This window comes from Homo sapiens, chromosome X (genome assembly GCF_000001405.40).
Source record: "Homo sapiens chromosome X, GRCh38.p14 Primary Assembly".
Lineage (NCBI taxonomy): Eukaryota > Metazoa > Chordata > Mammalia > Primates > Hominidae > Homo > Homo sapiens.
In genome coordinates, this window is record NC_000023.11 from 18950689 (window position 1) to 18963749 (window position 13061).

At 43.4% G+C, this 13061-nt stretch overlaps 1 protein-coding gene across 11 annotated transcripts in view; it reads right to left on the reverse strand.

Annotated features, from left to right (window-relative positions):
* PHKA2 (phosphorylase kinase regulatory subunit alpha 2) overlaps nucleotides 1-13061 on the reverse strand; it is a 91817-nt gene that overhangs the window by 58391 nt on the left and 20365 nt on the right. For 10 of the 11 annotated variants that reach the window (XR_950461.4, XR_001755697.3, NM_001440804.1 and 7 more), the window contains exons 2-4: nucleotides 3566-3724; nucleotides 1806-1853; nucleotides 416-584 (exon numbers count right to left, since the gene is read on the reverse strand). Coding sequence is in view for 8 of the 11 variants with exons in the window: in NM_001440804.1 (NP_001427733.1) it covers nucleotides 416-584; nucleotides 1806-1853; nucleotides 3566-3724 (376 nt within the window). In the remaining 3 variants the exon portion in view is untranslated. Of the gene's footprint in view, nucleotides 1-415; nucleotides 585-1805; nucleotides 1854-3565; nucleotides 3725-13061 lie in introns of those variants that run through there. The other variant, XM_047442166.1, reaches the window with a different exon arrangement.

Below are 13061 nucleotides of genomic sequence, written 5' to 3' on the forward strand. Positions count from 1 at the left end.
TGGCCAATGTGATGGTATTAAGAGGTGGGGCCATAAGAGGCGATTAGGCCCTGAGGACTCCTCCCATCCTACATATCCTACATGGGATGAAGGCTCTTACAAAACACACTTCGTGGAGCCTCTGGCTCTCTTGCCCTTCTGGTCTCCCCCATGGGAGGGCACAGCAGTCCTCCTCTTTGGAGGATGGAGCCCTTACTGGACAACTGAGCCTGGTAGTGCCTTGGTCATGGACTTCCCAGCCTCCAGAACTGCGAGAAAAAGCATTTCGGTTCTGTATAAATGGCCTTGTCTGAGGTATTTTATTAAAGCAGTGAAGCAGCACATGGCCTGACACACTGGCCGCTACCTGTCCTCCTCCCACCCCTTTTCCGGATTGTCACTCCTTATACAATGGGCTCCAGCAACCCCAGCTCACCTGAGGCGGTCATCTGGGCCAGGAACAGGAGGAAGAGAGAGGTGGCATCCACCTGGAGGTGGCCCCACTGGTCGTCGCCCACCACCGTGCCACAGGTGGCGGTGTTGTACTTGGCGTGCAGGCTGTCCTTGGTGCTCTGAGTGTGTTTGAACTTCTCCACTTTGGCCACCTGAGGGAGAAGGCAAGCCCGCTCTGCATAGTTATGGGGGTTCATGGCTGGCAGAGATCACGGCCATGGCCAGCCACCTGGATCTAGAGCTCTTATCTGCTACTTCTGGGAGCCAGAGGGATGGAAGGCAGCTGCTAGGCAGCACCGCACAGAGGGACTGTGCTGGGGATTCTTTTCGCCCACTTGCCTAAAATGTCCCAGCCTGGGGGGAGTCTCATCTGCAGGAGTGACGGGTCATGACAAAGGGTGTCCTTGTCTACATATCCCCAGCTGTGACACACGGTAGATACTCAAGGAGAGATGGAGGGAGGGAAGAAGGGAGAAAAGGAGGGGAGGAAAGGAACCTGTTTAAATTTCAATTTCTTGTTTCTTAATGTTGAAAGGAAAAGAGCAACTATGTCTTTTCTTGCGCTGACTGAGAGTGAGGACTGTTTTGTCTTCGTCTTTGAATTTGTGCAGATCCTAGTATAATGTTCTGTGTGCAGTACATGCTCAATGAATTGTTTTATTTACCCCTCACTGAAAATACCACTAAACAATAATATCAAGTTTTTAAAACTCAAGCATTTCATCTCAATGAAAATATACCCTTTTACAAACATGATGGAATAAACAATAATATATGGCTTTCTAGACGTGGCTTTTAAAAAAAAATGTTTTCTTCTCCATTAAAAAAAAAGCATGTTTCTCCTTTTATCCATGTACCTCTTCAAAAGAGATTCTCAGAAACTGTCCTTTGAGACTGTGATACAATAGTAAAGTTACTGAAAATAATTTTAAAAAGAGAAGGTAGCTGGGCATGGTAACTCCTCACACCTGTAATCCGAGCACTTTGGGAGGCCAAGGTGGGAGGATCACTTGCGCCCAGGTGTTCAAGACCAGCCTGGGCAACATAGTGAGATATTGTATCTACAAAAAAAAAAAAAAAAAAAAAAAGGCCAGGTGAATGGTACACACCTCAGGTGGGAGAACCACTTGAGCCCAGGAGTTTGAGGTTGCAGTGAGCCATGATCGCACCACTGCACTCAGCCTGAGTGACAGTGTGAGACCCTGTCTCAAAAAAAAAAAAAAAAAAAAAAGAGAGAGAGAAAGTAAGCAAAATATTTTCAATTTCTCTTCCTCTTGAGAAGAAAAGTACAAAACGTCTTAAGCATGTTAACTGTCACAATTACAATGACATGGAATGCCCACTTGGCAAACACGTGTGTGGGTTCTGCCTACCTGTCTCATCATGCACTGGAGAAGACCTCGCATCAGCTTCACCACGTTCTGTGGAGATAAAGCAGAATCAGCAACACGGCCCAGGGTCCTTGCTGCAGGAAAATCACCTCCTGATCACTGTGGCTGGCAAGCCAGTGCTGCCCAGCAACTGCCCTGGAAAGGCCAGTCCCGAGCCTACGTGAGTGTTCTGATGGTTCATGTCCTCTCCACTCCATCATAAAGAAAGAAAAATCTCGACAAAGTGACTTATCTCAAATAAAGGGGTTGGATCAGATGATATCTGCCACCTCTGAAATTCAGTGACTCCTCGTTGACATCTTAGCAACACAATTTCTGTAAGTGTAGTACTCTGGAGCTTTATGTCACATTTCTTGGTAATTTATTTTTCTTACACTAAGTCCACCACGCCTGCCCAAAAGTAATGTTTGCCAACATGGCCATTTGTGAAACCATCACTGAATTACCGAGTAAAGCTCTAACAAAATGCAAGTGACAGCCAAGGTTTCTGAATAATAGGATTTATTGTAACCAATTACTAGTCTTATTATCCTCATTATAAATAACAACAATAATGCTACGTTAATACATGAGACACCATGTCACAGACGATCCACTGACCGTGAGGCCATCGAAGAATGTCTGAATCAAAGATAAATCCCAAGGGCTCTCATGCCAAGAGAATGATTTTTATATTTCAGTGCTCTCTACTTCAATGCTACCACTCAAAACACTTGGAAAATACCTCCTGTGTTCAGGGACAGATTATTTTGTTACAAACTCAGTGATGGCAAATCTTTGGTAGGTATCTTGGTTCTGGATTTTGGAAAACAATAAAAGGACTTCATTGTCCTGTATGGTGAATAATATAGGCCCCCAAATTGGATAACACCAATTTGGTTCAAAATTAAAGGGTGACCATAAATTAATAAGATTGCTTTCCTGGAATGGTTCAAATTAGAAACGTATTTTTAAGGGAAGTTTCAAAAATATTTTAAGCAGTGGCAATAATGTTTGGATAAATATCCTTCCAGTGTGACTACTCTGAAGAGTACATGCTTTGGAATGTGAAGCTGTGGTGAGGTGACTTTTAAAAAACATATCAGTTTATGATGATGTCTTGTGTATAAATATGTACAAAATGGATAAAGTACGTGTGAAAGAAATGTAACTAATTATACAAATTGACACTTTGGGGTTAGAAATGTGGATGCAGCCAGGTGCGGTGGCTCAGGCCTGCAATTCCAGCACTTTGGGAGGCTGAGGTGGGCGGATCACTTGAGGCCAGGAGTTCGAAACCAGCCTGGCCAACACGGTAAAACCCTGTCTCTACTAAAAATACAAAATTAGCTGCGCGTGGTGGCAGTCGCCTGTAATCCCAGCTACTCGGGAGGCTGAGGCAGGACAATCACTTGAAACCGGGAGGCGGAGGTTGCAGTGAGCTGAGATCGCGCCACTGCACCCCAGCCTGGGTGACAGAGTGAGACTCCATCTCAAAAAAAAAAGAAATGTGGTTGCTTTCATTTTCTATTTGGTGTGATTTTGGATGTTGTCATTGTTTTATGTGGGAATCTCCAAACTCAAACAGAAAGACCAATGTGAGGTTGAGATAATCTAAGTACCTCCCCAAAATATTCTATAGCAGAAATAGAGGAGAGGCCTACACCCAAACAGTTCTGCACACACAGCTACTTCTCTGTGGGTTTTTCAGTTCAAGGAGAAGGTGGCTGAGCAGCCGAGATACAGCTGTCAGTCACTATTACCTGCTCCAGCTCGTAGGCCTTGGCCTTGTCCTCATCGCGGTCTGCATTCTTACGGTAGGCCATGCCCAGGCCCCACACGGCCAGGATACTGTAGATGTTATCCCGCACCCAGGCATCCTTCTGCTCATGGCTGGCTGACAGCAGCCCCGTGACGGGATTCTATTAGAGAAGAGACACAAAATGGCTCAGTGCCATCCTTCATGCAGTCCCTGGGTAACAGATGCTTGTCCTAACAGGGTAGATGAGGACCGGGACCTGGAGCAGGGAGACCAAAGTTCCAGTCCTTGCTCTGCCCCTAACAGTGTGATCTTGGGTGAGACATCACATGCCTTCTCAGCACCTTAGTTTCCTCACTTGTATAATGAGGATATGTGACTAGAAAATCTCTCAGAAACATTCCAGCTCTTATGTTCTTTTGCTTTCAGACGAGACCACACTGTTGTAAGTGGTAAAACAGAAGAAACAGCAAACAGGAAAAGACTGCAAGGCTTTCACAAAGCTGCATATTGCAGACCTTAGGTCTTCTTCAGTCTTCATGTGTCCGCACTAATAGGTAAAGCATTGAACCTGTGAGCAAGAAACCTGGAGGCAGGGCCCCACTCCGCTCTCTAGCTGTGTGTGCCCAGGGAAGCCACTTTCCCTCTCTGGGCAATCCAGATACTTCATGTGCCTAAACAGAAGGTGCCAAGCAAGAGGACATCTGGGAGTCCTATTTAGCTATGATATCACGGGTATTTAAAAGGGCAACTGAGTCACTAAAAAGCCAGACCTTGCCACAAAAAATTATACACAAATGTTCATAGCAGCATTATTCACAAAAGCCAAAAAGTGGAAATAAGCCAAATACTCATCAACTGATAAATGGATAAACGAAATGCGGTCTATACAAACAATGAAACATTATTTGGCAGAAAAAGGAAGTATGGATGCATGCTACAACAGGGATGGACCTTGAAGACATCACCCTAAGTGAAAGAAGCCAGATGCCAAAGGCTACATAGTGTGTGATTCCATTTGTATGAAAAGTCTAGAAAAAGCAACGCTATAGAGACATAAAGTAGATTAGTGGTTGACTGGGCTGGGAGTAGAGGTAGAATCTGGAAGTCAGTGGCTGCTAGTAGTTTTTTTTTTTTTTTTTTGGTGATGAAAATGCTCGAAAATTGATTGTGGTGATGAATGCACAAATCTGTGAATATACTAAAAACCATCCAGTTGTACAGCTTAAATAGGTGAATTGTATGGTAAGTAAATAAAGCTATTAATTTTTTAAAAGCCAGTCCTAATAAACTCTGCCTAGAAATCAGATTAAAGAGTCACATAATGATAAAGCCTCTGTTGACATTTCCTGAAAATTTGTACATATCTAATAAAATGTATCATAACAATCAGAACCTTGTAAGCTTAAAAAAATTACATTACTGTAAAGGGCACCATATTATTTACAAGAGAGCTCATGAAAAAACTGCACTGGGTACTTTCATAGTGATACTGCCAATATTAAGTAAAAAACACTGGCATGGTTTCACATGTTCCCACCTAAGGAATTAAATATTTGACTTTCTCCTCTAACAAATCTATGCCCTCTATCAAAACATTTAAAACTCAACTGATATTACCCACAGGGGCAATGGCATTCTATATATTGACATGGTTCTACGGCCAACAACTATGAATCACTGATGTTAAAGTCAACCAGAATTGAAACCTAGGAATGACTGAAAGTACAAATCTTATTCCAATAGTGGACTACTGGTATTCTTTTTAAATAACGTATAACATAAGCATTTTGGCTGGGTACGGTGGCTCACGCCTGTAATCTAAGCACTTTGGGAGGCTGAGGCGTGTGGATCACTTGAGGACAGGAGTTCGAGACTAGCCTGGCCAACATGGTGAAACCCCATCTCTACTAAAAATACAAAAATTAGCTGGGTGTGGTGGTGCGCGCCTATAGTCCCAGCTACTTGGGAGGCTGAGACAGGAGAATCACTTGAACCCAGGAGGCAGAGATTGCAGTGAGCCAAGATTGTGCCACTGCACTCCAGCCTGGGTGACAGAGTGAGAGTTTGTCTCAAAAACAACAACAACGACATAAGCATCTTTATCTGTTCTGAGGTCTGTTGGGTAAGCCGGGGACAGGGAAACATCAGGAGACCCAGAGTAAGAACTCAACCCATTCCTTGTGTGCCCACCAACCATGAGTCTACTAAAACAAACAACCTTCTGGTGACACAGCAGTGATCGCTTACACATAGTGACAAGTGTGGTTTGGATTATGAAATATCCCTGTCCTGTTAACTGAAAGTCATCTATCTTACTCTTTAGACACGCTTAACTGTTGGAGTAGATTAGTTCATCCTCACCCAAAGCTATACTGTCTGTCCCCCTCATTCAACTACAGAGAAGCAGTCTGAATGTTTCAGGGGATTCTCATATTCAGAACCATACACATACATGCCGTGTAAAATTAGGGTGTTACTGCACTCAGCAATAGGAATATTTACTTTTTGACTTGCTTCTCTTGTTAAGTCTATAAAAACCAGTGCATTGTGTTGGAAGAAGATGGGGGTGGTTCCATTTTGATGTGATTCATAAAAACTGAAATGACCACAGATTGGCAGATACTCTGCCACTTCTGCTCTGCTGTCCTTTTTTTCTTTCTTTTTTTTGAGACGGAGTCTCACTCTTCTCACCCAGGCTGGAGTGCAATGGCGTGATCTCAGCTCACTGCAACCTCTGCCTCCTGGGTTCAAGCAATTCTCCTGCCACAGCCTCCCAAGTAGCTGGGATTACAGATGCCTGCCACCACACCCAGCTAATTTTCTGTATTTTTAGTAGAGACGGAGTTTCACCATGTTAGTCAGGCTGGTCTTGTGCTCCTGACCTCAGGTGATTTTCCGGCCTTGGCCTCCCAAAGTGCTGGGATTACAGGCAAGAGCCACCGCACCCAGCCACTGCTTTCCCTTCTAATAGGGATGACCCAGTGGTTTTGTCTTTGAGTCATTCCCTTGCCTGGAGATGGACTATGCTGCCATATCTGTACTCTCACTTACTGATGCTTATGAACCACCTGAACAGGTCCATCTCTTTGGAGCTCTGGAGTCTTTACTTTAAGTATGGCAATGGAGGAGGGAGAAAAAGGCTGCCCTGTCTGATGCCATTCTGCAAGCTAAACATAAACACAGGCAAATGCAGACCACAGGAGGATGGTGGGGAGATTGGTCCAAGCCAAGCCTATGGTTTCAGATGTGATCATTTTAACCATATGTTGCTTTCCAATCTTTGAAAAACACTATTTAGCTATATCTGCACCCACACAGAGCATTGTAGAAATACGTAACCATAAGCAGATAGATGTATCTTTTTCAGTTGTCTTTCTTCCTTCTCTTTTTTGCTTGGTTCCCTCCTCCCCTCATGTCAGCAATTCCACACACTCCATATAACAGCCTCATATATACATTTTTTCCTATGTGTTACTAAAACCAGATTATATATATATATATATATATAATTGTACCCCTTAAACAGGTGAAGTATATATACATATATATAATTATATATAAATTCCTGTTCATGCACAGGTTTTCTTTTTGAAGGTGGGGGTCACTGTTGTTTTGTTTTCTTTTGAGATGGAGTTTCGCTCTTGTCACCCAGGTTGGAGTGCAATGGTGTGATCTCGACTCACTGCAACCTCTGCCTCCCGGGTTCAAGCAATTCTCCTGCCTCAGCCTCCAGAGTAGCTCGGATTACAGGTGCATGACACCATGCATGGCTAATTTTTGCATTTTTAGTAGAGACAGGGTTTCATCATGTTGGTCAGGCTGGTCTCGAACTCCTGACCTCAGGTGATCTGCCCACCTCGGCCTCCCAAACTGCTAGGATTACAGGCGTGAGCCACCGTGCCCGGCCAGGGTCACTGTTTTTAACGAGCGGGATGGTGGGATCATATGATACACACTGCTGCACCCTGCATTTCTCTTTCAACAGGACCTATGAGGTCCCTCCATGTCATCTGGCATAATTCAAATTCATGAGTTTTAGAGGCTGCATCATATTCCATAGAAGATACCTGTAATAATGGGTATTCATTTGTTTTCTGGGATTTTTTTTTAAATTTGGCAATACAAGGACTATAATAAATATCCTTATATATTCAACAGTGCTTTTATTTCCATGGAATAGAATCCCAAAAATGGGACTGCTGGGTTGGCATATTATATGTGTATACACTTTAAATTTTCATAACTATTCGCTATCTCTGCCATAAGTTATCAATAGTTTTAATTTTTTGTCAGTCTGATGGATGTAAAGTGATATCTCATCACCATTTTTATTTTTAAAATTTTTATTTCCCTGACTACCAGTGAATTTAACCATCCAGTCATTCTTGTCTGGGAGGGAGGGCGGGCCACTGGATTTGCTCTTCTGTGAGCTGATTAAGTTTCAGTTTCTTTTGTGTGTGTGTGTGTGCGTGTGTGTGATGGAGTCTCACTCTGTCACCCAGGCTGGAGTGCAGTGGTGCAATCTCGGCTCACTGAAACCTCTGTCTCGGGGATTCAAGCGATTCTCCTGCCTCAGTCACTCGAGTAGCTGGGATTACAGGCACATGCCACCACACCCAGCTAATTTTTGTACTTTTAGTAGAGACAGGGTTTTCCCATGTTGGTCAGGCTGGTCTTGAACTCCTGACCTCAAGTGATCCACCCGACTTGGCCTCCCAAAGTGCTGGGATTATAGGCATGAGCCACCACACCTGGCCTAGTTTCTTTTTAACCAGGTACTATTTCACCATTTCTACCTACAAAGAAAGACAACCTTCCATGTATTGTGTTTAAGAGCAGGCTAGAATCAAACTGCCGTGTTCAAAGCTCTCCTATCATCCAGCTGTGACCTTGAGCAAATGACTTCGGTGTCCACCTGTCAGATGGGGATTATAACAATGTGTACACCTCATAGGGTTATTTGTGAAGATTAAATGAATTAATTCGTATCAAGCTTTTTGGACTCTGTCTGGCACACATAACTGCTCAATAATTGCGATGTTTAATATTATTCACCTGTTTGAACGGCTTTCATTAGCATTATTTCTTCTTCATATAATTACAATAATTTCAGGAAGTCAGATGATGTAGCTAGGGGAGGAATCTGCAAGTGAGTTCGATGTAACCATCATTTTTACTAGAAAAAAACACCAAAGTTTGGGGTGCCCTCTTTTATCATTACTATAAACATTACTGGTGAAGATATTTTATCACATTGACATTTTTGAAACAAAAAACCTGGCCACTCTGTCCTCTCCACACCCAGGTCTTGCCTTTCCCCTTCAAGTTTAGCCTTGAATTTTGCTCATTCATATAAATTTTCTCTGTTTACTTTGCTAAACTCTCTGTATACTTTGCCTGAAAAAAATCATGACTAAATTAATATCAGGGGCAAATTCTGTAATAATATCCACTCTCCCACTCTCCCACCTATATCAGGTGACCTGATGTAGAGTCATGAAGGACAGGAAATGGGGCAGATCTCTAGATATGGCAACTCAGAGGATAGCTAAGAATCATAAGCAGTAGGTATTACAAGCCGGTCTTAGTGGAGATAGCCTGAACCTGCACTGACAGTTAGCATCCCTGCCTCAGAAGAACCTGCCAATGATATCCTTAAACTCTATGAGAAGGGGCCACAGAGACAGAGGAGCCTAATAGAAACTGAGTTTCATCAAAAGCAAGGGGCCAAGAGCTGAACAGCTTGTCCTTTATCTCCAGCCACTTGTTCACCTCTCTTACCTTCTCCACCTCTTCTGGGTTTCTAATGTAGGAAAAGTGCCCTTGTTGGCTCCTGTTGATGAAAAATAAAGGGCAGGCCCCTACGACCTAGAATGGATTGGGCCCAGAGCTTGGCCCCTATGGTCTGGTAACAAACAACATTAACATCTCAGTGGCTTATTACAACAAACGTTTGCTTCTTGTCCATGCCTTGTGTCCACCCCTGGCCGGCTGTGGTTCTGCTCTGTGTTATCTTCCCTCTAGAAACCAGGCTACTCAAGCAACTTGTATCTAAAGCACTGACTGTTATGATGCCATTCTCATATTTGCTATAAGGAAATATCTGAGACTGGGTAATTTATAAGAAAAGAGGTTTAGTTGGCTCATGGTTCTGTGGGCTGTACAGGAAGCATGGGGCATCTGCTTCTGGGGAGGTCTCAGGGAGCTTTTATTCATGGTGGAAGGCAAAACGGAAGCAGGCACTTCACATGGTGAGAGCAGAAGCAAGAGGGAGATGGGGGAGGTGCCACATACTTTTAAACTACCAAATCTCGGGAGAACTCACTATTGCAAGGATGGCACCAAGGGGTGCTAAACCATTTCTCACAAATACTAAACCATTCATAAGAAATCCATCTGCATGATCCAATCACCTCCCACCAGGCTCCACCTCCAAAACTGGGGATTACATTTCAACATGAGATTTTGTCAGGGACAAACATCCAAACTATATCACTGCCCATTCTGTGCACAGGAGAAGAAAGACACAGCGAACCATGAGGGTCAGTTCATCATGAAGATAAAACAATCTTAGACGTGTATGAACCTAACAAGAGGTAAAGGAATAAACACATAGATGGACAGAACAGAACAGAGTCTAGAAATAGATCCACATGAATAGGGCAAACTGATTTTTGACAAAGATCTAAAGACAATCCAAGAAAGGACAGTCTTTTTAACAGTGTTGGGACAAGTGGACATACACATGCAAGAAAAAGAACCTCAATCTCAATTCCACAGCTGTAGACCAGTTTGAAGAATACTACCATCTCAACCATATTGAGTCTTCTGATCCATGGACATGGGATGTCTTTCTGGCACAATCTGAAACATGGTTTTCATACTACAAGATTCCTAAAGGCAAAGCCTATCTTTTTTGTTTACCACTCTAGCGCAAGGTCCTGGCCTAGTTAGGTACCTAATAAATAAATAAATGAATATATAATAAATCACTATATTTTTACTGATTTACAGTCTGAAATATCTTTTCAAAGGTATTTAAAAGTATAGACATTCTCTGTCTATATATATTTGTATTATACATAGCTAATACAAGTAAATTTACCACTTAAGAATGCTCATTTTGGCTGGGTGCAGTGGCTCACGCCTATAATCCCAGCACTTTGGGAGGCCGAGGCGGGTGGATCATGAGGTCAGGAGTTTGCGAACAGCCTGACCAACATGGTGAAACCCTGTCTCTACTAAAAATGCAAAAATTAGCCAGGCATGGTGGTGCGTGCCTGTAATCCCAGCTACTCAGGAGGCTGAGGCAGGATAATCACTTGAACCCGGGAGGCGGAGGTTGCAGTGAGCTGAGACGGTGCCACACTGCACTCCAGCCCGGGTAACAGCGCAAGACTCCATCTCAAAAAAAAAAAAAAAAAAAAAGCTCATTTTATTATTATGCATGTCCTTCTGTTCAGCCTTTCTTTAGGAAACTCAAAAGAAATAAATCAGATATACACAACATGAACCTTGAGAATGACTCAAGCAGAAGCTAAAGCCTCATTTTTGCTTTAAAAGTAGAAAAGTGGACAAAACCGGGGAGCTGCTTCAAGTACAGGAAATGGCTCATTGCTCAACTCAGAGCTGAGATGGGTCAAATAGAGAACAGTAATGTCACAGGACGGAGGTGAAGTTTAAGGAGGCAGAAGTTAGGGTAGTGAATTTCAGTGGGAGTCAGGGTGCAGTGGTGGAAGCTGACCAGAGAATACAGGATACATGACTCCCTAGGGTGGTGTGTGTGTAATTTAAAAACACAGATTCAACATTATAATTTTGTATTGTAAAATGAAAAACAAAAAACTAAAGTCTTCATCACATCAGCTTGAGAAACAACACTTAAACAATCTTCTTGACTGGTGGCAATACAAAGATGATGATTCTCCAAGCAAGCAGGGGATGGGTTAGATTTTAACAACAGAAGAAGGCAGAGATGTTGAAATAGTAACATACACTGCTCCTTTGTGGGTGCGTGCATGGGCATGGAGGGGCAGGTAAGGACTGCAAAATGGATGCTGAGCCAATACTGGAACAGCAGAATGCCAAGGACTTGGACAATAGATTGAAACAAACTAAACAGCATTCAACAAGGATTTGTACATTGGGCTCACATGTTTCATAAATTTTTGCTGAACTAATTTTATTAGCCATCACTCCCACATTTGAATTGACTCAGCTCCCTTTACACATACACCCCCACCCCTGGGATCCCAATAAATCTTTAAACAGAGCTTCTTCTCTCTGCCAAATCACCTTTCACACCAGCAGCCACTCTGTGACCCAGCCACAGCTTGCCCAACACTTAGGTACAAGAAAATTCATGAAGCCAGTCTACTAAACCCATCTTATACCACAGTCAAACAAACAAACAAACAAACAAAATTCAACTGGATGATACTGACTGCAAATTTTAACAGCACCCTACCAACAGTGTGAGTACCACGTACCAGAAAGCCAATGCTGTGTTAACAGAAGTATTGTTTTCGGAACAAGGGAAATAAGAGCCTCACCAAACGCCAGCCTGGCAGAGTACATCTGGTGTACTCTGTTACCACCAAACACCATGTTTTAAAAGAGACATTCACTACCTAGAGCATAGCCAGAGGAGGGTGATTAGGGCAATGAAAAAGCTAAAAGCCACATATCATGGGAAGGAGGAAGAACATAGGTGTTAAGGGGAGGCTTCAAAGAGCTGAAAGGTTGTCCTCTCCAAGAGGGATTCAATTTTTCCCTTTACTGAACTCTTCCGATTTCAACTCAGGGTGTCCCCTTGGGCCCTTCGTTTCGTCCCTGTCCTGATGGAAATGTTGTTGCTTCTGCCTGTCCAGCCCCTGTCTCCTCCCTTTCTAGTAGTGGCCTATAATTTCCCCTGCTCTGCCCAGTGTGGCTCTGGTGGGGCTTACTTTGGTCCTGGCCCAGCTGCAGGGAAGGATATGTGGTCCAGGCCTGGCCAATCTGGGCACGGTTGAGAGATGGGCAGACAACCCAAGTTGGACCACCTGAGAGCCACGCTAAGTCAGTCAGGACTTTCGCTGGAGCCACTACAGGAAAAGCTTGCTTTCTGTGGAGGCTGCCACTCTAGAAGACTATCACCTGCAGCTCCCAGGGATACCTCTGTCACTACCTGGGACAACCCTACCAGAGAATAAAGCCCACTCAGAGTCAAACAGGGCACTGTAAAGAGACATACCATATTTGATGACTTGAGCTCCTGGATCCAGACATGCCTGAATCTAGGCCAATCCCCTGGACTTTTCAGTTATTTGAGCAATAAATTCTCTCTTGTGCTTAAGGCTGTTTGAGGTGAGTTTCTGTCATTTACAACTGAAAGAATCCTGACAAATACAACCATGAATGCTTATATGGCCATGATGAACTAGACACCATAAAACATGTGTTTGGTGCTATTAAAGACATGGAAGAGTGAGGCAATACCAGGCAAAAGACATATGCCT